Here is a 24,054-nt window from a genome sequence, read left to right as displayed (position 1 = left end):
CTTGTACCCAGGAGGTGGGGGTTGCAGTGAGCCGAGATCGCACCTTTGCACTCCAGCTTGGGCAACAAGAGCGAAACTCCGTCTAAAAAAATAAATAAATAAATAAATGCTGAAACAAACATAAGTGGGAAAATACGGAAGGCCCAACTATTTATTTACATATAATATTTCTACATATTTATGGGGTACACGTGGCATTTTGTTGCATGCATAGAAGGTGTAATGATCAAGTCAGGGTACTTAGGGTATCCATCAGTTTGATCAATTTTTTTTTTTTTGAGACAGTCTTCCTCTGTCACCCAAGCTAGTGTGCAGTGGCGCAATCTCGGCTCATAAGCATTCATGAAGAAGAGAAAGGGAAAGATGTATTGAAGGTAGAACATATACCAAAGCACCAAGTACATGGAGTTGTCTAGAGAGCAGCAGGCATTATGGCTTAAGCACAGTTGGGGCCTGGTTGCCCAGAGACGGCATGGCAGCAGATGAAGCCAAGAGTTAGGCTGAGTGTAGATTTGGCTAACATGTATGCCCTAAATACGTAATGAAACAAGAAAAATGGCAATTTCTCTTTAAAAGAGGATAGACAACTTCATTTCTTTATCTGAGATTGCTCTGGTATGATGATAGTCTCTGGTTTTGGTGTTTCATTCGTGATGAGCACTTCAGGGCTTTTTATCCTTTCAAAGCTATAGCATTCAGTTTTGTCTTCAGAAGATACTGTTCTAGTGCTGACCAAATGAAAGCCTTCCTTTAATAAAGTGTCAATCAGTAAGCCGAGGACATTTGTTCCGTTGGCCAATTTTCGGTTATCAGGTTTTATAGAAACATACCTAGGACACACAAAAAGAAGCTTAATTATAAAGCATCCCTTTAATAACTAGCAAAACTATACACATAAATTTGACTTACAACCTCAAAGGCATCATACCTTCTCAAGACAGATTTTTTTTTTGAAATTTCATTTACTTTACAAATCCAAATGAGTGATTTTTTTTTTTTTTCTTTTGAGATGGAGTCTTACTCTGTCACCCAGACTGGTGTGTAGTGGTGTGATCTTGGCTCTCAGCAACCTCTGCCTCCCAGGTTTAGGCTATTCTCTTGCCTCAGCCTCCTAAGCAGGTGGGATTACAGGCGCACACCACCATGCCCGGCTAATTTTTGTATTTTTAGTAAAGATTGAGTTTCACCATGTTGGCCAGGCTGGTCTCAAACTCCTGACCTCAAGTGATCCACCCATCTCGGCCTCCCAAAGTGCTGGGATTACATGCATGAGCCACCGTGCTAGGCTACCAAATCAGTAATCAGGTGCTGAAAATCGAGACCTTGCTGTGATTCTGAAAGTCATTTCAATTCCATATTTAGAAGTAAACCAACACTCATCAATTTTTGAGAGATCACTTTCTAAAGAAAACATTTGATCAAACAAATTGTATTAATTTTTATATAACTATTTCCAATTTTGTTTTGAATTTGCTATTAATTAGTTGATTGAATCAAATATTTTAATGAATGCTGTGCACTTACAATTTCCCCTCCAGATCTAATCTTATCAATTATTAGCACTGACATTATGGATTTTCCTTTGCGACTTACTCCTATGAAATTTACCTTTTTTTAAGTGAAATTTTGCAGATATGAAATGTCAAGATTTTATTGTCACTTTTTACGCAATAACTCTCCATTGTCAAAGAGCACAACTTGGGGTCAAAAGCCTCTGGAGAGTGGAAAGGGCAAAATCTTCTATTCACTGAGGTGCTCCACAGAACAAATGCAGTACACAGAACCAATTCAAGAAAAATGCACATGAGGAGGCGGAGCTTGCAGTGAGCCAAGATGGCGCCATTGCACTCCAGCCTGGGTGACAGAGCGAGACTCCGTCTCAAAAAAAAAAACAAAAGAAAAAAAGAAAAAAATGCACATGAACTTTTCAGATTAGCTATCTGTTGGCTTTAATAATGTCAGCATAGGCTGGGCGTAGTGCCTCATGCCTGTAATCCCAGCATTTTGGGAAGCCGAGGCTGGTGGATCACCTGAGCTCGGGAGTTTGAGACCAGCCTGACCAACATGGTGAAACTCCGTCTCTACTAAAAATACAAAAATTAGCTAGGTGTGGTGGTGCATACCTGTAATCCCAGCTACTCGGGAGGCTGAGGCAGGAGAATCACTTGAACCCCAGAGGCGGAGGTTGTGGTGAGCCGAGATCACGCCATTGCATACCAGCCTGGGCAACAAGAGTGAAACTCCATCTCAATAATAACAATAATGTCAGCATAACACATCTGCATGGATACAGCTTTATGACTCCGTCCTTATCTGCCATCAAAAATGTTTTCATAAAGCTCTTTGTGTCCTCCCACCATTAGTTTATGAGATGTGAAGAAAAAGCTAACTTAGATTAGTTCAGGCAGAAACCTAAACTATCTGTAGTTTTAAGGGATAAAATGATGCTTGGGGACATCCCTAACCTTCTTCTAATGATCATGCTTGAAGTAGAGTGGTTTTTGTAGTTCACATTTAGAAACTCATTCTAAGCAAAGAAACCAATAGTAAAATCTAAGAATTACCAAACTACAAAGCACATCTCAAAAAAAGTTTATTATGTTTGATACAACAGATTCTCAATATTAGCAAATCATTCCACTTACCCCCAAGCGCCAGATCTTGACTGTACAGTCTAAAAACATTTGTCAAAGTGAGAAAAATGTTACAGAACATCTCATAAAAGAATTAAGATACAAATAGTATATACAGATAGTAGATTGTAACAAAGTGGAACGTACTTGCAAGACATCACCTAGCTAAAATACTTGATTCCCTATGAGGACAAACTGAAAAATAAAATATTTCAAGCACACAAAGAAAGGACAAAATAGGGGAAACCAATGGGAAATATAAAGTTTAAACTTATTTTTAACATTTAAAAGCAACTACACTTTTCCATTTGAGCCAGTTCAAAAAGGAGAAGTCAAATAAAGACTTTAGAATCCTGTGACCAACTATAATTTGAGCTTGATAACATGAATGGCATCTGAAAGATGCAAGCCAAGTATTTCTAGTACTGTGACCTTGAGAGATAATAACTGAGCAACCTGCTAGGTTAACCTTGAGGGGTAAATCATATTGATAGAACAAACTGAATAAAGTGAATGATACACCAGACAATTAGGCACCAATTAGGCTCACTTCTCCATTTTCCAAACCTACCAAAAAATATCTGAATAGACAGATAGATTCAGACCAGGGAGTGAGCAAAAAATAAAAATGATTGCTAATTAGGCAATTATATACTAAAAGTGGACCTTTTAAGGCCAGAGTTTTCATCCCAATCACCAGAGATCCCCATAATTTCACCGTATTCAGATTGGCTATCTCTACTTTTAAATTGGCACTGTCTAAAAATTCACAAACATTTATGGAATGGTAAAAATTTTGAGCTTCAAACAATTGAATACCATTTGGTGATGCAAGAAAATGCTAATTTTAAAAATAGCTTCTGATTTTGGAATTATGGAAGTCTAAATATAATGTTTTCTCACTTTAAAATGGAAAAAACTTTCGTGCTGTTTCTAAAACACAACATAAAAAGGGAAAACCATTTGGCACTGTGTACACACAGGAACATCCCAGTTTTAGTTTTTAATCATGTTTTTCAAGGAAACAATTACTTTCTCCAAATGCATGGTTTTTAAAGAGTACTTCGTATTTCCAGGACATCTTCTTTTGACCTAGTGTGTTTCTTCTTAAAAATCAATGACAGTTTTGTCTCTAGGTTTCTGACTTTTTGAAGCATGATCCCCAAAGAGGTCATAATCACTCATATTTTAAAAACCAAAAAAAATTTCATTTTTGTTAAAGTATCCCATCAATGAAAATAAAGTTGTACAGAGGTTTGAGATAAAGATAAGGTATTAGATTTTCTTCACAATCAGCCTACTAGCTTGACTGGCTCTCTTTTCCCAAAATGACATTTCAAACTCTTTTGAAGGACAGGAAGTTATAAAATGTAAACAATTAAGAATTGTCATACTCGGTTATTCTACCTAGTGTCCTCCAGTTGGTAAGCAAGACCAAGGAGTGTGTCGCTAAGAGAGAGAGACACTGGTATCCTTCCTGTTGGCTACTGCTCAAGTTAAGAAAATATCTTAAAATACGCCTACCTTTACCAAAAAAAAAAAAAAAAGTATATTTTAAATGATACCAATAAAGAACACATGCAGGCTTTTCTTTTCCTCCTAAAAATTAAAGCCAGCTTTCACAGTTGGTAAAATAATGGTAGGACAGCATTAAGACATTTTACGGGGGGAAAAATGTTTGTGACAGCAGAGTGGAAATCAGCGTTAGGATCCAGCCAAGAACAACAGAGGGAGTAAGTGAAGAATTGACTCAGGAGCAACTATCCTTAACATACTGACAGCCTATCCCAATATTTTGAGTTGTTTAAGAGCCAAGGCTGTAACAGGATACCAAATTTGCCATGAGATATATCTGTCTTTAAGGGTGTTTAAAAATAAAGTCAGCTGAAGGAAAAACAGTAGTTGAATCATAAAACTGAAAGAACAACTTATATAGTGTGTAAGGAACTCAAGAGAAACCAGTGAGCGAGCCTTTATGTGAACCACTGAAACAATCTCTTAAAAATAAGGCAATTCTTTTCTAAGTCAAATTCATTAGCAATGGAACATAATCTACAAAATTATTTTCTCCCATGATTTGAATGTCCATAGTCTCAGTTTTTTCTGGGCAGTCTTCATTTATTCCTTTTGTCCCACCTAATAATAGCCCCTTTCACTCTAAAAAGTATCCCAGTTTGGAAAATAATTATTTGGTCATTCTACCCAACTCCACTGGTTACCCCAAAACATTATTTTGAATAATCATCTTTTCCAGAAGTTACAGGCCTGAGGAACTTCAAGTTTTTAGAGAAAACATCACAAACTGGTATACAAGAGAAATACTGCAAAGTACAAAATACCTGACTCCAGTTTGGTTATCAGTAGTGCTGTCAGAACCACACTGGAAAACCAGGTCATGGTAAGAAGGTCTTTGTGGAGGCAGTGGAAGTAAGGTCATCTGAGGAGGGAAAAAGTTACCATTCCAGGTCGGCGCTGAAGGTTGTTCTGTAAACACTGTAATCCTCCCTGTTAGCATCTCAATTGTTTTGCTGCAAGAGCCAAACACCCTGAAAAAAGCTTGAGTGTTCCGGCTTAGGAAATGTACCTCCACAAGAGCAGGTCTTGGCTGTAGCAGGTATGGGTTTAAGAGATCAACTAGAGAACGAAGTTCATAGAAAAGAGCCTCTCTCTGAAGCCTAAGATAGTCTGAAAATTCAGTGGGTAATAAAAGCTGGTGAGTTCTCAAAAAATCTAAGATGAAACTAAACAAATCACCATCTCTGTCTACAAAAATCTGGCCACCAACCATCTTGAATTCTTGGTCTCTGCCATCTAACATGCGTGCCAAACGAGAAGCAGGAAACTGCTTTATCGTAGAAAACCTTGTCGTGAATATCTTCCCTCCCACATTCAAAGTGACCAGTTCCTGACTACTCATTCTTCCCTCACTTCAAACTAGAGGCTACCATCAGCCACACTTAGGAAATCAACCTATAACCATAAATGTTGCTAGTTATACATGATTATGCAGTGGAGGGGAGGGAAGAATAACAAAAACCAGACTTAGATTCCCAGGAAACTACTGTAAGGTAAATAGTGTATCCATGGCTGTGTTTGCAAATTCGAGTTGCCTGGGAACTTGCAGTATACAAAATGAAAAAGCAACAGATGAGGAACTAAATAGCTTAAGGAAAACTGCCAATATATCTGAAGATAGACATCAAATAGATCCCTTTCCTGTCTTACATTTAAAAACTTATCCATGAAAACCTAGTAAAACTATATATATATATATATATATATATATATATATATATATATATATATATATATATATTTTTTTTTTTTTTTTTTTTATTACTGGGAGGGGAAAAGCATTCTCCCTCCCCATACCTGTCTACCACGCAGAGGCTAGACTTAAACGTTTTTCTTAATTTCTTATGATCTCCTTAGAAATTTAGTGGCTAAATCATGAATTACATGTTAGGAATGAGACAGCCTGGCAAGCTCAATTTGACTATTCTCATAGCTAGAAGGAAATCATTTCTTCTGTGCTTTAAATTTAGTTGCCACCTTTTATCCTGTCCCCATTTTCATTACCTCCTCTCAACCAAATTAGAGGAGGACTGAGGTAAAGAACTCTTATTTTCAGAAAGTCTATTCCACTTAATGGGCTTTCAAGGAATATCTTACTCTATGACACAAATAAGGCAGACTAGAGAGCAGTTATAAGGTTACTTCTTTGTTATATGAATTCTAAGCAAGGTGTTTATTCCATGAGAGGGTATCTTTATCTCTTGTGAGCAGACAGAACAGCATTAGTGTTCAGCTGATTACTTTGTAATAGCTGACAGACTGTTTTATCTGTTGTCAAATTAGTCTTAACTACACTAAACATTCTTTCTGTAAGCAAGTGGATTGGTTTGGTTGTACACTTGCCATCTTTCGAACAAAACAACACATAGCTGCCAGAAAAAAGGTAGTCTTCCCATTTCCTGCTCTTGCCATGTGTTCTATATATACATATATATGTATATATATGTATGTGTACATATGTGTGTGTGTGTGTGTATATATATATATATATTTTTTTTTTTTTTTTTTTTTTTTTTTTTTTTGGTAGAGACTGGGTCTTGCTATGTTTACGAAGCTGGTTTCGAACTGGAACTCCTAGCCTCAAATAATCCTCCCACATCACTGTCCTAGAATGCTGAGATTATAGACATGAGCCACCCTGCCCAGCCAGCTGATCCTTTTTTTTAACCTATCTATGCTTTTGCTTGCATAGCCACTTAACATTTCTAGTTGATCATCTTTGGTGAAAACTACAAAAACAAAGGAGAAAAGGGCAGATTGAAAGCTCCACTCTCCTAAAAATGTAAACTTATCACAAGAAAATGCCAGGTTTTGTATGTACCATTCACATTTTGGTGATAATTAACTCTCTGTAGAAAATTTTGGAAATCTAATTAATTAGTACCTTCAATACCTTTAGTTGTCTCCCACACACGCGTGTGTGTGTGAAATCTTCTACAATATCTTCCCTTTTTTAGACCATGTTCACTGTCAAAAAGGTGCTTTAAGAGCAGTCTTTGGCTGGGCACGGTGGCTCACACCTGTAATCCCAGCACTTTGGGAGGCCGAGGCAGGCGGATCACGAGGTCAGGAGATCAAGACCATCTTGGCTAACAGGATGGTCTTAAGGGACAGTGAAACCCTGTCTCAACTAAAAATACAAAAAATTAGCTGGGCGTGGTGGCACGCGCCTGTAATCCCAGCTACTCAGGAGGCTAAGGCAGGATAATCACTTGAACCTGGGAGGTAGAGGCTGCAGTGAGCCAAGATTGCATCACTGCACTCCAGCCTGGGCGACAGAGCAAGACTCCATCTCAAAAAAAAAAAAAAAAAAAAAAGTGATCTTTACTGCATGCTTGAAGAACAATCACTACTATACTACCTATACTTCCATCAATACAATATTAGATCATATGATCTCTCACCTATTTTTATCACAGCATAAATACAACCAACATTTGGGGTGGATGCTTATTTCAAAAGCACTCTTTTAAACAAAAAAAGGTTCAGGCCTATACTACTAAATTTCACTTTTATCTTTATGCTACCTAATTTGAACATGTATAGATTATTTTTGGAAGGAATACTTTTGGAGGAAAATATGTGACTAGAATCGTTGACCAAATCTGAATTACCACTCTCTATTCTCTAACAATTTCTAACAAAAGAAAACTGCATACTTGAAACAGATTTTATAATAGTTTATATTTGCACACAAATTCTGCCACATTGTTCAGTACCACCAAAGTAAAATTCTTGAATCTTTCATTGAAAATGAAAAACCCATCTGTCACCTGTTCCCAGTAAAAAACTGATTGTTCTATGAAATCGGCTGTTTTAGTCAGATAGGAACTGAAGTTTGAAAGACAGCCTTTCCAAGTTGCCAGGTCATCAAATAATGACCATTCTAGGAACATGGTAGGACCAAAGACAATGACAAGGCCAAGCAGAAGGATTAGCAAAAATAACTTATAAAAGCTCCAGGGAATCTTGCTAATGAATGTGCCAGTGTCTTGAGGCAAAGAAAGTTTATCCACATCGACTAGTTTTATGTCTTCCCACTGACTGGTATCAAAGTTCTTCATTAAAGGGCTTGCAGGCAAATTAGAGGGAGGTAAAGGAGTTTCCTTGATTACTTTGATTTTCTCTCTAAACTCCTGCATCTGTTGCAGAAATACAATGGGTTCTGACACATCTTTGAAAGCCTCAGCAATGTTAAAGGCCATCCGTTGCTCCTGCAAGATGGTGTTGAGTTTGTTGATCTCTGGGTCATATGCTTGCATAACAGCAAGTTTCATGGTCTCAAAGTCAGACAGAATTTCATTCTTCTTTTGATCCAGTGTGTGTTGTAACTTCTCAAAAAATTCCTTCACTTTATCTGAATCTTTAGTCAGTAACTGTAGGGATTTCCTCTTACTAGTTTCCAAGGTATCCAAGCGAGAAAGAGCATCTCCCCGACGCCAGGTCTCAAAGCTCTGGAAGAGGGACTCAAAGGCATCCCTTTCCTGAGCATAGGCATCTTCAATAGAACAGAAGACATGTTTGGTGTGCTCCCCACGAGTAGCACAGATCCCACAAATCAGCTGCATATCAGTCAGGCAGAAAATGTTGAGAGGCTGCCCCAAGTGTCCTTTGCATACTGGCATTTTGGGAGAGATCTTGATCTTGTTATACTTTTCCACAATACCCTTCAGGGAGTAATTAACCTGCAGGCTATTAATTCCAGTAGCTGAAGTTTCCTTACGGCATGTAGGACACTTGAATGGAGCTGGTCTCCACAAGGAATTCCGCACACTCCCTTCTAAGATACCTTCTAAGCATTTTTTGCAGAAGTTGTGGGAGCAAGGCAAAACCCGTGGATCATCAAACAGACTACAACAAATAGGGCATGTGAGATCTTCTTCAAGCAGCTCCATCACATCCTACCAGAAAAAAAAAAAATTATTTTACTCCAATAACCGTCACCACTAGGACTATGTAATAATTAGAAGAAATCTGCCTTCACGTTAAAATGATTTTTCACTGAAATAACCAGCCAAACAAAGTAGTGAGAAATTTGGTAAGGGAATGCACACCAAAGCAAATTTAATCCACTGAGACTAGAACATGCTCCTTTAATAGTAGGGCATCCTATACACAAGGCCTTTGTGTGGGCTTTCCAACAACAGTCTTTGGCTAAGACAAGACTCAGGACTAGGACAACTGCAAGTTGAGCCAGCAGGACCCAAGCAATTGTTTTAAAACAGAGCTGACTACTGACAAAAACAAGGCTATTCAGTGTCTGTAACAGAATGAGCTCTTTACTCTGGGCCCACAAATATGAAATGGTATGTTATATAAAAGAAAGAAGCACAGAAATATAAATCCAAACATGTACTCTCATGTAGACTTTATTATGAATTGGCATATTTTTGTTTCAAAGGCAAGATTACAATTTTTAAAATCACAGGTAAAAGCACAAGATGAGAGTTGCAATTCACTCTTCTAGGTAGAGAACTAAATGAGGTTTTTTGTTGTTTTTAAACCACCAGAACAGTAACAGAAGCCATTTTGTATTATCTAGAATCATCAATTTTCACAATGTGGTGGGCAGAAACCTGGATGTCCCTCTTTCAGGGCATCTGTGAGATCAAAACTATTTTCGTAATGACACTAAGATGTTACTTGCTTTTTGCACCATGTCAACATTTGTACCAATGGTGTAAAAGCAATGGTGTGTAGACACTGCTGAAGCCTTAGGAGGGATCGAGCAAAGCTGTAAGAAGCGCTGAATTGTATTCTTCATCACCACCCAAATTGGGGTTGGAGTACCGGTTTCACTTAAGAATGTTCTTGATGCAGCAGTAAAAATTATTCATTTTATTAAGTCTTGAGCCTGTGTACAGTTTTTTAATATATTGCGTGACAAAATAGGCAGTACGCACAAAGCACTTCTGCATACCGGCAGATGTTGTCTGGAGAAAAAGCACTTAAGTGAAGAGCGGCAAGTTAAACCAGCTGCTTTTTTTCATGGAACACCATTTTTACCTTCTGAAAGAACAAATGATAAACTATGGCTATTCAGACTTAGCTACCTGACATTTTCTGGGGAAAAAAAATGAGCTTGCTACTTCAAAGAAAACAATTGACAGTATCTCTTGCTAATGAAAAGGCTGGGTTTTATGTAAAAATTAGAATTTTGGAAAACATTTGATATTTATGAGCCTGACAGCTTCCCATTAATTAAAGACTTTTATGATGAGATGGGCAGTGATATTAATGAATGTGAGGATTTTCTGAGGGGAAAGGAGTACTGTATAATGAAATGTGTCAATATTTGGAGATCTGCAAAACACAGTGAATACTATTTCAAGTCACTAATGCATGTTACAAATCAGGCATGGGTAAAAGATCCATTTGAAGTTCACGAAAGACCAACAGGTTCATAAACAATTTCAGATTCCATACTCCAACAAAGAAACTAGCACTTGCTGAGTTTTTGTATAGTATCACAAGAAGATTCAGGCTGGGAGCAGTGGCTCACGCCTGTAATCCTAACACTCTGGAAGGCTGCAGAGAGTGGACCGCTTGACCTCAGGAGTTCACGACCAGTACGGGCAACATAGCAAAACTCCACCTCTACAAAAAAAATACCAAAAAAATTAGCCAGCCATGGTGGCATGCGCCTGTAGTCCCAACTACTCGGGAGGCTGAGGTATGAGAATCCCTTGAGCCCAGGAGGCAGAGGCTGCAGTGAGCCGAGATAGCACCACTGCACTCCAGCCTGGGCAACAGAGAGAGACCTTGCCTCAGGAAAAAAAAAAAAAAAAAAAAAAAGATTAAATTACCTGAAAAGGCTATTTAAATAATATTCCTTCCTTTACCAACTACATATCTGTGTAAGCCTAGATTTTTGTGTATTTCCTTTTCTTTTCTTTTTTTCTTAAGAGATGGGGTGTCTCACTCTGTCACCCAAGCTGGAGTGCACTGGCATGATCATAGCTCACTGCAGCCTTGAAATACTGGGCTCAAGTGAGATCCTCCCAAGTAACTACAGACTGCAGGTGTGCACCACCATGCCTTGCTAATTTTTAGTTTTAGTGTTTTTTGTTGTTGTTGTTTTTTTTTTTTTTTTTTTTTTGAGACGGAGTCTGACTCTGTCACCCAGGCTGGAGTGCAGTGGTGCTATCTTGGCTCACTGCAACCTCCACCTCCCGAGTTCAAGTGATTCTCCTGCCTCAGCCTCCCAAGTAGCTGGGCCTACAGGCACATACCACCACACGCAGGTAATTTTTGTATTTTTAGTAGAAACGGGGTTTCACCACGTTGGCCAGGCTGGTCTTGAACTCCTGACCTCAGGTGATCCATCCGCCTCAGCCTCCCAAAGTGCTGGGATTACAGGCGTGAGCCACCGCGCCTGGCCGTGGATTTTTTTATAGACAGGGTCTCACTATGTTGCCCAGGCAGGTCTAGAAATCCAGCCCTCAGGCAATCGTCCCACCTCCACCTCCCAAAGTGCTGGAATTACAGGCATGAGCCACCACACCCAGCCTTCTTCGTTTATTTCAACCAAAATAATATATTCCAACAGGTTAAATACAGAAGCAGACAAAAGACTCCAGCTGTCTTCTATTAAATAGCCATTCATTACAGGCCTCTATTGCAATGCCATGCTTCTCTTAATTTTGTTTTGGAAAATAGTTATTTTCCTAAATTATTTGTTAACTTGTAATGGGTTTATCATTGTTATTTTACGTGAGTATTTTTTAAAAATTGTTTTAATTTCTAATAGAGTAAATATCGACAGTACAAACATAAAGTTCTTGGGATTCTCTTTTTTTTTTTTTTTTTTTTTTTGAGACAGCTTTTTCACCCAGGCTGGAGTACAGCAGTGCAATCTCAGTCCCCTGCAACTTCTGCCTCTTGGACTCAAGCCATCCTCCTGCCTCAACCTCCAAGTAGCTGGGACTACAGGCACGCACCATCACACTCAGCTAATTTTTTTTTTCTTTGTAGTTTTTTTTTGTAGAGATGAGGTCTCACCATATTGCCTAGGCTAGTCTCAAATTGCTGGGCTCAAGTGATCCTCCCACCTCAGACTGCCAAAACACTGAGATTACAGGCCAGGATTCTCAATTTTTAAGAGTGTAAAAGTGTCCTAAGACCAAAATATTTGAGATCCCTAATACAGGCAATACCATTTCTCAATGCAGGTTTATTATTTTTAATTCTTATTTTGAGAGACAGGGTCTTGCTCTGTTGTCCAGGCTGGACTACAGTGGCCTAATTATAGCTTACTGCAGCCTCAAACTTCTGGGCTCAAGCAATCCTCCTGCCTCAGATTCCTAAGTAGCTAAGACTACAGGCATGCACCACCACGCCTGGCTACTTTTTTTTTTGTAGAGACCAGGTCTTACTAGCTGGCCTCAAGCAATCCTCCTGCCTCAGCCTCGCAAAGCACTGAGATCACAGGTGTGAGCCACTGCATCAGGCCACAAGTTTATTTTAAATATACATTCATCTCTATAGTTGTAAAACCAAAGAGTACTACATATTTCTACATTCAGTTTACTCAGGGATATATGCACATATCACATTATCAACAATATCACATTATCAACAATAACATATGACTTAATCGGTAGGCCATCTATGATAAAAAGTGAATACTTGGCCGGGCACGGGTGGCTCATGCCTGTAATCCCAGCACTTTGGGAGGCCGAGGCAGGCGGATCACGAGGTCAGGAGATCAAGACCATCCTGGCTAACACAGTAAAACCCCGTCTCTACTAAAAATACAAAAAAATTAGCTGGGCGTGGTGGCAGGCACCTGTAGTTCCAGCTACTTGGGAGGCTGAGGCAGGAGAATGGTGTGACCCCAGGAGGCAGAGCTTGCAGTTAGCCGAGACAGCGCCACTGCACTCCAGCCTGGGCAACACAGCAATACTCTGTCTCAAAAAAAAAAAAGCGAATACTTTTTTAACAGTAATTTCAACAGCCATACATGACTGGACTATATCTAGAAGGTAAACAGTATTTAAAGGACAAGCTGAGCTTGCAGGGTTAATTAGTTTATGGCTTTTTTTTTTTTTTTTGAGACTAAGTCTCACTCTTGTCACCCAGGCTGGAGTGCAATGGTGTGATCTTGGCTCACTGCAACCTCCGCCTCCCGGGTTCAAGCAATTCTCCTGCCTCAGCCTCCAGAGTAGCTGGGATTTACAGGCACCTGCCACCACGCCCAGCTAATTTTTGTATTTTTAGTAGAAACGGGGTTTCACCATGTTGGCCAAGCTGGTCTCAAACTCCTGACCCCAGGCAATCCACCCGCCTCCCAAACTGCTGGGATTACAGGGGTGAGCCACCGTGCCTGGCGTTTTTTTTTTTTTTTTGAGACAGAGTCTCACTGTTGCCCAGGCTGGGGTGCAGTGGTGCAATCTCGGCTCACTGCAATCTCTGCTGCCCAGGTTCAAGCAATTCTCCTGCCTCAGCCTCCCGAGTAGCTGGGATTACAGGCACCGGCCACCACGCCCGGCTAATTTTGTTGTATTTTTAATAGACACGGGGTTTCACCATCTTGGACAGGCTGGTCTTGAACTCCTGACCTCATGATCCACCTGCCTCAGCCTCCCAAAGTGCTGGGATTATAGGCGTGAGCCACCACGCTGGGCCCTATTTTTTTGGGTTTTTTTTTTTTTGAGACAGAGTCTCACTTCGTCACCCAGGCTGGAGTGCAGTGGCACAATCTCGGCTCACTGCAACCTCTGCCTCCCGGGTTCAAGCGGTTCCTCTGCCTCAGCCTCCTGAGTAGCTGGGAACTACAGGCGCCCACCACCATGCCCAGCTAACTTTTGTATTTTTTGCTGGAGACAGGGTTTCACCATGTTGCCCAGGCTGGTCTCAACCTCCTGACCTCGGGTGATCCGCCCACCTCAGCCTCCCAGAGTGCTGGGATTACAGGTGTGAGCCACCACGCCCAGCCAGTTTATGGTTTTATAGTAGATTGTAAGATACATGTATTTATAATACATAACATAGGGAGAACTAAAGCAAAGATTATTCTGTCTCAAATTTAGTGTCATATTGCAAAAAAAGGTGTAATTAGCTGATTTTTCTGAAAAATCCTTTGTGATATGACAAATCATATAACCTCTGAAAAGCATTGGAAAGAGAATGGCTATAAAGACTCAACTTAGTTTGTCTTCTGAAAGAGATTACCACACAGCTGTAAGACACACAAACTTTCAGAACAATGAAGTCAAACTTTTGATGATCTGCCAACCCCAGTCCTGCTCCACACTTTTCACTTCCATTACTATCATCTTTTGCCTAAGAATTCTACACAAAGGCCAGATTTTTGAGAAGGCAATAGAAACAGGAAAGTGGTAAGGGCAACACTCAATAAAAGAAACCTAATTTACTCATCCTTGCAATGTTAATACTTCCAGAGAATACTATCCAAGCATATTAAATAAGAAGAAAACAAAGAATATACCAAGTGATTGGGTGGGATGAGGAGGAGAAAAAGGGCACCAAAGGCAAAGAGAAACTATGAAGAAAATTGAGGATACAACGACAGGGGCCAAGAAGAATTTTCAGGCAAACAAATGTGATCAAAAGTGAAAAGGAAAATGTCACACACAGGAAAACTTAGAAATAATAAACAGTCATCCCAAGGTCATGATCAACATACAGCTCTTAAAATGAACCAGAGGGGAAAAAATACTATTTGGAAAGTATCTTCAAAAAAATTGCATCAAAATTACAATAGATCCTCTAATTTCATTTTTAGTGACTTAACTTACAAATTTTGGTTGATAATTTAAAGATTCTTATTTTCATTCACTTTAAAATCTACATATTTCTGGCCAAGCGCGGTGGTTTACGCCTGTAATCCCAGCACTTTGGGAGGCCGCCGAGGTGGGCAGATGAGGTCGGGAGTTCGAGACCAGCCTGGCCCACATGGAGAAACCCCGTCTCTACTAAAAATACAAAATTAGCCAGGCGTGGTGGCGCATGCCTGTAATCCCAGCTACTCAGGAGGCAGAGGCAGGAGAATCGCTTGAACCCGTGAGGCCAGAGGTTGCCGTGAGCCATGATCGCACAAGAGTGAAACTCCATCACAAAAAAAAAAAAAAAACTAAATATTTCCTTTTCTCTTCTTCCTTTCTTCCTTTAGTTTTATGCCTTCTCTCTTTTTTTTTTAGAGATGGAGTCTTGCACTGTTGCCCATGCTGGAGTGCAGTGGTGTAATCACAACTCACTGCAACCTCCGCCTCCTGGGTTCAAGTGATTCTCCTGCCTTAGTCTCCCCGAGTAGCTGGGATTACACGCGCCTACAACCATGCCAGGCTAATTTTTGTATTTTTAGTAGAGACAGGGTTTCGCCATGTTGGCCAGGCTGATCTCGAACTCCTGACCTCAGGTGATCCACCCGCCTCGGCCTCCCAAAGTTCTGGGATTATAGTTGTGAGCCACCATGCCCTGCCTATGCCTTCTCTTTATAATCAAAACTTTCTCTAAGACAAAACTATGTGACCACTTCCACAAGTGACTAATACCTGATCCAAGAAACCATGGTAGACATCTTTGTTGCCTCCAAAGTTTTGAAGGATAATTTAAGTTAAAGCCTTTAATATCATAAATAAAAGGTACTCTTCACAGCAAAATAACTTACAAAATCTTAAAGTATGGCTAACACAAAATCTGAAGTAATCAACCCAGCTTACTCCTTTGACATGAACAAAAAAGGATACATCCCCTCCACCTCTTTTTCGGGGTTTCTGGTTGTTTTTTTTTCTTTTGAGAGGGAGTCTCGCTCTTGTTACCCAGGCTGGAGTGCAATGGCACCATCTCGGCTCACTGCAACCTCTGCCTCCTGGGTTCAAGCGATTCTCCTGCCTCAGCCTCCTGAGTAGCTGGGATTACAGGTGCCCGCCACCACACCCGGCTAATTTTTGTATTTTTAGTAGAGACAGGGTTTCACCATGTTGGTCAGGCTGGTCTCAAACTCCTGACCTCAGGTAATCCGCCCTCCTTGGCCTCCCTAAGTGTTGGGATTACAGGCGTGAGCCACCGCACCTGGCCCTTTTTTTTTTTTTAAGACAGGGTCTCGGGCTGTCACCCAGACTGAAGTGCAGTGGCGCCATCTTGGCTCACTGGCAACCTCCCCACCAGCAACCTCTGCCTCCTAGGCTCAAGCAATTCTCTTGCGTCAGCCTCCCGTGTAGCTCGGATTACAGGCATGCACCACTACCACCTGGCTAATTTTTGTGTTTTTAGTAGAGACAGGGTTTCATTATGTTGGCCGGGCTGGTCTTGAACTCCTCACCTCAAATGATTCACCTGCCTCAGCCTCCTAAAGTGCTGGGATTACAGGCGTGAGCCAGTGTGCCCAGTCTGTTTTGTTGTTTTTTTTGAGGGAGTATCACTCTGTTGCCCAGGCTGGAATGCAGTGACCCTAACACAGCTCACTGTAGCTTTGACCTCCCCAGGCTCAGGTGATCCTCCCACCTCAGCCTCATGAGTAGCTGTAAGGTACTACAGGTACATGCTACCATTCCCAGTTAATTTTTGTACTTTTTTTGTATAGATGATGTTTCAGCATGTTGCCCAGGCTGGTCTCAAACTCCTGAGCTCAAGCAGTCGGGACTCAGCCTCCCAAAGTGCTGATTATACAGGCAAGAGCCACTGCACTTGGCCTCAAGCTAGTTTTTTTCCTAATATAGAAGTCAAAAAACTTTATGTAAACAAAATTATTATTCACTGTTCAAATTTCAACTTAAAGTCAGATTAAGCACATAAAGGCAAACAAGTTTTCCAAAATTCATCTCTTCCTTTGAATATTTCTGAATACTTAGAAAAGTCTTAAATTTTGAAGCACAAATACCAATTAAAAACTTCCCAAATGTTTTATACCAACAATTTTAAAAGCTGACAACTTTTTAAAGTATCCAGAAAGGTGGTAGTAGACACTAGTTGCGGAAAAAAGTCAAACTTGTTCTCCTGCCATATTGATGTTTTCTAACATACTTTTAAATTTACATACAATGAAATTCACTTTTTGATTTACAGTTTTATTTTTAACAAAGTTGCATACCACCACTATGAGTTTATTTTTTTGAACAAATTGTCAAGCTATCCACAAAGAAGAAGGATTACAAAAAGTGCTTTATGAATCCTACCTCAATTAGTATCTGGCAACAACAGCTTCTATAAATGAGAACCATAACACAACCACTAAAATAATAAAAATGGAAAAGCCAATACTTACAAAGTAAACGTGTCATAATAGAGTTTATATATATGTATTGGACTTCTTCCTTCTAGAATTCTTTTAAGAGATCAACCCAAAATGATTATACTGCAGAAAGTACTCATTCATTCACTCTGAAACAAAAGTTCATTTTCTCCTTATAAAACCTATTAGTAAAAGAAACTTTCCTACTAAGGTTTTAAATTCCACTGGCTGTTAGCAATATAAAGTTGTTCAAAATATTACCCATGTTTTTTGTTTTTTTTCATTTCCCATTAGGGAACAAAAAGAAAAGCCAATAAATATATCACGCTTTTATCTTAAGGATTTAACTCAAATTTCCATCCTGTTTTGAGGCATCTTTGAAGGCAAGAATTTCAAAACAGTACCTAAGTATCTATCAGGTGGCTAGACAGCAAACATTGAAACTCACTTCATAGACATTAAATTATGCTAAGCTTTACTGAACTGAGACAGCCACAAATGTTACTTTGAAATAATTCCTATAATAAAATGGCTCATTAAAAAAAATCATTTCCTCTCAGCACACTAGTTAATCTTATTTTCAAATAGTGTACTATATTCTCCCATCTCAGCCTCCAGAGTAGCTGGGACTACAGGCATGAGCCACTGCACCTTACTATACTGTAGTATGAGATCCATTAGGCCAGGTGCATTGGCTCATGCATGTAATCCCAGCACTTTGGAAGGCTGAGCCAGGTGGATCATGAGGTCAGGAGTTCAAGATCAGCCTGGCCAAGATGGTGAAACCCTGTCTCTACTAAAAATACAAAAATTAGCCGGGAGCAGTGGCAGACACCTGTAATCCCAGCTACTCGGGAGGCTGAGGCAGGAAAATCACTTGAACCCAGGCGGCAGAGGTTGCAGTGAGTCAAGATCGCACCACTGCACTCCAGCCTAGATGACAGAGTGAGACTCCATCTCAAAAAGAAAAAAAAAAAAGAGAGATCCATTAATAAATGTTTTCTTGAAACTAAGTAAGGGTCTAATTAACAACTATTAAAATCTAGGTAGAGGATGTAAGAATACTTTAATATTCTTCTTGAGTTTTCTCTGTTTGAACATTTTCACAATAAAATGGGTGGAAAAACTAAAGAGCCAATTATTAAAAAACCATATTGAGTTTAGAAAGTAAAACTTTGAAAACATTAGCTAAATATAAGCCTCATAAGAAGTTTAATCTGCTGTAGTATGGTTTGTTTTTGTTTTTGTTTTTTTGAGACAGTCTTGCTCTGTCACCCAGGCTGGAGTGCAATGGTGCGATCTCGTCTCACTGCAGCCTCCTCTTCCTGGGTTCAAGCAATTCTCCTGCCTCATCCTCCCAAGTAGCTGAGATTACAGGTGCCTGCCACCACGTCAGGCTCATTTTTATGTTTTTAATAGAGACGGGGTTTCGCCATGTTGGCCAGGCTGGACTCAAACTCCTGGCCACAAGTATCTTCCTGCCTTGGCCTCCCAAAGTGCTGGGATTACAAGCATAAGCCATCATGCCCAGCCTATGGTTTCATCTTTCATAAATTTTTTTTTTTAATGTATTACTGGAAGTCTCTGAATCCAGACCTGTGAGGAGACTGACATACTTGTCTGGCTCTCAGTCTGTAACCTCTGACAAACCACTTATACATACTAGTTTCTCTCCTCATTTGTATAGCTATTTTAAAAGGTATATGAAAAGTATTTACAAAGTTTTTATTTTAAATACTCTGTATCAATGTGTTATTACTCTTCATTCTTTTAGAGACTGTCCCGGTGACTTATATGATCAAAACAGGACAAAGTAAGATACAGAGATCAGATTTCAGATATAATCTCTAAAAATGAAAATTAATGTATTACACATAGCACCTCTGGCATATATATGATCAAAACAGGACAAAGTAAGAAATATCAGATTTCAATACCTCTAAAAATGAAAATTAATATATTACATATAGTATCTAAAATAATTGTTATGTGGCTCTTGCAAACAATATAAAAGTTACCTATGTGTCCATATAAGACAGTAAGTAACCAACCTTTTCTGGCATTATCCTAGAATAAACAGTAGTTAAAATTTCCAAGATATTTCTAGCAGAGATCCTGACAAGGCAAAATAGAGCTAGTACAGAATGTTCACTAGCTTGGTAAGTTCACTTACTCAGAAAGTTCACAAAGGGTTGTCAGACTAAGGTGAAATTCTCAGAAATATAAACCAGGTCACTCATTACCTCGCTAGTTCAGAGCACTAAGAAAAACTTTTTCCTTTTCCTTCATTCTCTTCTCCATACCATAGTTTAGCCTGGACTCTTTCCTGCCTTTTTTTTTTTTTTTTTTGGGACAGAGTTTTGCTCTTGTCACCCAGGCTGGAGTGCAATGGTGTGATCTTGGCTCACTGGAACCTCCGCCTCCTGGGTTCAAGTGATTCTCCTGCCTTAGCCTCCCAAGTAGCTGGTATTACAGGCACTTGCCACCATGCCCAGCTAATTTTTTGTATTTTTAGTAGAGACAGGGTTTTACCATTTTGGCCAGGCTGGTCTCGAGCTCCTGACCTCAGGTGATCCGCCCACCTCAGCCTCCCAAAGTGCTGCGATTACAGGCCTGAGCCACTGCACCCGGCCAGGTGCTGTTATTCTAGAAGGTATGATAAATAGTTTATAAAAGACACATAAAAGTAAGTTTCAGAGATCTGCTCATGTCTATAGTTAACACCACTGTACTGTACACTTAGAAATCTGTGTAGAGGATAGGTCTCATGTTAAATGTTCTTACCACAATTAAAACCATAAAATATTGACACCATACTGAAACCGAAGTTATCCATGCAACTAGCTTTTGTGTCTTCTTAAATTATAAAATTAGTTTTTATTATAGAAAATTCAGAAAATAGAGAGAAAAAGCCACCCATAATCACATCAGCAAGAAATCACCACTACTATTATTTTGGTGTCTTTATTCCAATCCCATGTGTCCGTGCATGTGCACACATTTTAACAGAACTGGTAGCATAATACAATTTTGTATCCTATCCCCTTATTTTATTACATGCCTTTCCCCCATCATGATATGTTCTAGAAAAACATGACAGTCCATGTTGTGGATATGCTTTCTTATTGCTCATTTATGGGTTTGTTCTTGTTGCTGTGTTGTTTTGTTTGTGGGTTGTTGTGTTTTTTTGGTATTGTAACATTTAGGTAAACACCTTATAGAGAAAAGTCTTGCTCCACAGCTCTAATTACTTCCTTAGACAATTCCTTTAAATGTACTTCTGGGTCAAACAGTAAGGACATTTTTAAGGCTGTTGAAAAGATGACTAGGTTTCTCTCTAGAAAGGGTTTATATCACTTTATGAACTCTAACCAATGATGTATTAGAGTGGTCCACCTCTCTATGCAGTTCCTAACCTTAAATAAAACCATAGTTTTATAGGACTTAGTAAAAAACAATAAGACACACTTGTTACCATACCTACCCGAGTTTAAAATATAAAAGTTTAAGGCAGTTAACATTAGTCTGCATCTGTGTCTTACCAATATATATGTATAGGCAATAAATGGTAATAAAAGTTATGGGGTAGGAATAGAAATACTGGGCTTAAAAGCATCTTAGAAATCATCTAAACACCTAATTTTAGGAGTCAAAAAAACTAAGACACCCCCAGCACTCAAGAAGTGGAGACTCATCAGTTGTACACAGCAAACTAGGCATCACAGCCTGAGTTTTCTAATTCTTAGACCTTAGCAATATCTAGAAAGGGACTCAAGAACTCAGTATTCTTATTCATAAAATGAAGGGGTTTAATCATAAGCTCTCTAAAATCCCTTCTAAAATTTTGCAGTTTTTACAAACTAGGTTTAACAGGCTCTCTAGTGAAGGGGAAAGCACAGAACCTGCTTTTGAGTACCTGTGTTCAAGCACCAGTTTTATCCTTCATAAAATTAGGATTTTTATATCTGGGAATGGTGCCACACACTTGTAGTCCCAGCTACTCTGAAGGCTGAAGCAGGAGGATCACTTGAGCCCAGTTCAAGACCAGCCTGGGGAACACAGTTGAGAATCCCATCTCTTGGAAAAAAATTTAAAAATGATTTTTATAGTATTTACCTCATAATGAAATGGCTCCATTGCCTGGGGGATACACCCGTGGTTGTCTCGAGCCAAGAAAGAATTCAGGACATGGACACACACAAGGAGTGGGTTTAGGAGCGGAAAATTTAATAGGGAAAGGTTCCTCACGCTGAGAAATATCACCCAAGAGAGGGTCTCCGGGTTTGGGGTGAAACGCAATCGATTTTGTACAGAGGCTTGAGGAGGTGGTGATTTACATAGGGCCCAGGGGACTGGTTTGACCAGGTGAATCATTTACATAGCCCGTCTAAAGACTGGCCCTCCCACCCTAATTTTTTGTTATGCAAATGTAGCTTCTACCTGGGGCCGCCATGACACCTGCACCCGTGGTTTTACCTAGTGATCGCCAAGACGCCCACATAGGGTGACAAGGAAAAGGGAGCGGCCCAGACGCCCACATAGGGTGACAAGGAAAAGGGAGTGAGAAACCCCATATTGAATGTACCTGGCTTCCAGATACAGCAGGCTACATTTACATATAAAAGCTTCTAGCCTGCATATTTTTGCTTGCAGCTTGACTTTTCAGGCTTTCTGTTAGAAAATAAATGGTTTGGGGGCTTTTTTTTTTTTTTTGGTAGAGTCTCGCTCTGTTGCCCAGTCTGGAGTGCAGTGGCGCGATCTTGGCTCACTGCAACCTCTGCGTCCCGGTTCAAGTGGTTCTTCTGCCTCAGCCTCCCGAGTAGCTGGGATTACAGGTGCACGCACCCCCACGCCCAGCTAATTTTTGTATTGTTAGTAAAGATGGGATTTCACCATATTGGTCAGGCTGGTCTTGAACTCCTGACCTCAAGTGATCCACCCACCTCAGCCTCCCAAAGTCACCGGCCAGGAGCTGCTTTTTATTAAAGGAAAATTCCACCGAGAACTCTTTTACCCTTTCTAGCTGCCTAAAAGTAATTTCTCAACTCCTGTGTGATGTGTGAGAATTCCATAAACTACGAAACTATACAAACATAAATAAGGTTTAATTACATATGGCAAACTCTACACATTTAAGGTGTTATTTTGGAGCATCAGTGTATCAAGCAAGAAAAGGTTCTAAACTTGAACTGTGATTTCAAGGCAAGGCAAAACAAATATTACATAAGGTATCAGGTACAAAGCAGTGTCATGAAAATGAGCATATCTGAACAAAAGCTGTGACAGAATTAAGGCCAGATAACCTATCATAAATGTATAGAATGAACAGAACAGCCCGGTTTTAGGAAAGGACTTCCCAGGGAGGTTTAGTAAGCCAGCTGGGAGAAAGGAAAAAAAACGTATTTTTAGGGAGGGATAGGGACGCTCCCATTGTGCAAGAAGGAAGTATAGCCGGTTAACAGCTCCATCAAGTTCTACTAGAAGGAGTGCCTATGTAAATGAAATTCTGCTTTTAAAGTGCCTATTATATAAAGGTCTCTAGAAAACTCAAGCCCTGTTCTACAAGCCCTAGCAGCCTGACAATTCACTAAGCATAGGAGAAGGGAAAAAAAAGTAGGAAAAAAGTGTGGAAGCCCCTTTCTTCCTTTGTAATATGAATGTTTGGCTATATTTAAGATAAATACCACATAAATAATTGCTAAACGTGAATTCTGTTTTTCTAAGTTTTAACAAAATATGCAAAGAACAAAGACCACCAATGAAAGTGGATGGGAACATACGTATTCTACACACAGTTCCATTTTGGAAGGTTCTAGGGCCTATTGAAATTGGGTGTTTAAAAAAAAAAGATAACACAGGAAAATTATTGTAGTTTACCTCTGTCTCCTACAAGCTGATGTATTTGGCAGGGTTACTATTTCCCAGGGCAAAGCAGGTCTTTTTTTTCACGTTTTGACTAACGAACTAGAGGCTACTGCAAAGAAAGAAGAAAAAGAACAGTATTAACGCATTTATTTGCACAGCACCCCAATCTTGACCCTCAATTTTTTCAATCGCCCCCACAAATAAAGCCCGGCTGTTTAGACCTGGTGAACCGCCAGGAGCCTGGAGCTCTTTGTATTAAGCAGCTTCTCGGTTAGGGCGCCCTCCCCCGGCGCCATGCAACCAAACGCTGGCGGCGCGCTGTAACCTAAGGCCCACACCCGTCTTTTCTTTTCTAGGGGATGTGGAGACGCTGGTAGCGGGGCCAGGAAGGCTCCGGACGGAGCAGGTTTTCTGGACCACAGACACACTGCCCCGGCGCCCTCCGCAGGCCGCTCCTCCCCAGGCCCATGACAGTGCCCCGCTGGTTTCTGCCGCGCTGCCGGACTGGAGCTCAGACGGCCTTCGCCAGCCCCCCCAACCCACGCAGATCCCTGCTGACCTGGGCAACTCCCCACCCTCGCTGAAGGTTCGAGGACCACCCCGCTTTCCCGAGAGGAGCCGGGCGGCGGGTACTTATCTCCGACCTCCGGCTAGTGGGAAAGGCCGCGCGACCGCCCGTCCTCCAACTACAGGGACCGCACGGTACGCGCCAAGCACAGCCCCAAAATGGACTCGCGGCTCCGGCTAGCTCCGCCCCCTTCCCTCTCCCGCTTCCCCTTCCCCTCC

At 40.3% G+C, this 24,054-nt stretch overlaps 2 protein-coding genes and 1 long non-coding RNA gene across 7 annotated transcripts in view; 1 reads left to right on the top strand and 2 right to left on the bottom strand.

The window, feature by feature from the left end:
* DLEU2 (deleted in lymphocytic leukemia 2) overlaps window positions 1–24,054 on the top strand; it is a 142,993-nt gene that overhangs the window by 104,498 nt on the left and 14,441 nt on the right. The window contains exon 11 of the long non-coding RNA NR_152566.1: window positions 23,625–23,970. This is a non-coding gene — a long non-coding RNA (deleted in lymphocytic leukemia 2). The remainder of the gene's footprint in view (window positions 1–23,624; window positions 23,971–24,054) is intronic.
* On the bottom strand, window positions 122–5,600 carry KCNRG (potassium channel regulator). Of its 2 annotated transcripts, NM_199464.3 has the most exons (3): window positions 4,973–5,600; window positions 2,124–2,221; window positions 122–830 (listed from the first exon to the last, which is right to left on the bottom strand). In NM_199464.3, the coding sequence occupies exons 1-3, from the start codon at window positions 5,548–5,550 to the stop codon at window positions 817–819; spliced, it is 690 nt and encodes a 229-aa protein (NP_955751.1). In that variant the 5' UTR covers window positions 5,551–5,600; the 3' UTR covers window positions 122–816. The 2 variants fall into 2 exon arrangements, with proteins under 2 accessions (NP_955751.1, NP_775876.1); NM_173605.2 differs by lacking the exon at window positions 2,124–2,221.
* TRIM13 (tripartite motif containing 13) lies at window positions 2,577–24,002 on the bottom strand. 4 transcript variants are annotated; one of them, NM_001007278.3, is made up of 4 exons: window positions 23,828–24,002; window positions 23,281–23,377; window positions 19,936–20,049; window positions 2,577–9,109 (listed from the first exon to the last, which is right to left on the bottom strand). In NM_001007278.3, the coding sequence occupies exons 3-4, from the start codon at window positions 19,936–19,938 to the stop codon at window positions 7,880–7,882; spliced, it is 1,233 nt and encodes a 410-aa protein (NP_001007279.1). In that variant the 5' UTR covers window positions 19,939–20,049; window positions 23,281–23,377; window positions 23,828–24,002; the 3' UTR covers window positions 2,577–7,879. The 4 variants fall into 4 exon arrangements, with proteins under 4 accessions (NP_001007279.1, NP_434698.1, NP_005789.2 ...); NM_052811.4 differs by lacking the exon at window positions 19,936–20,049; NM_005798.5 differs by lacking the exon at window positions 19,936–20,049 and having other exon boundaries at window positions 23,913–24,002.

Source organism: Homo sapiens, chromosome 13, assembly GCF_000001405.40.
Source record: "Homo sapiens chromosome 13, GRCh38.p14 Primary Assembly".
Lineage (NCBI taxonomy): Eukaryota > Metazoa > Chordata > Mammalia > Primates > Hominidae > Homo > Homo sapiens.
The sequence above is the reverse complement of the archived record's forward strand: the minus strand, read 5'-3'. Positions and strand labels throughout refer to the sequence as shown.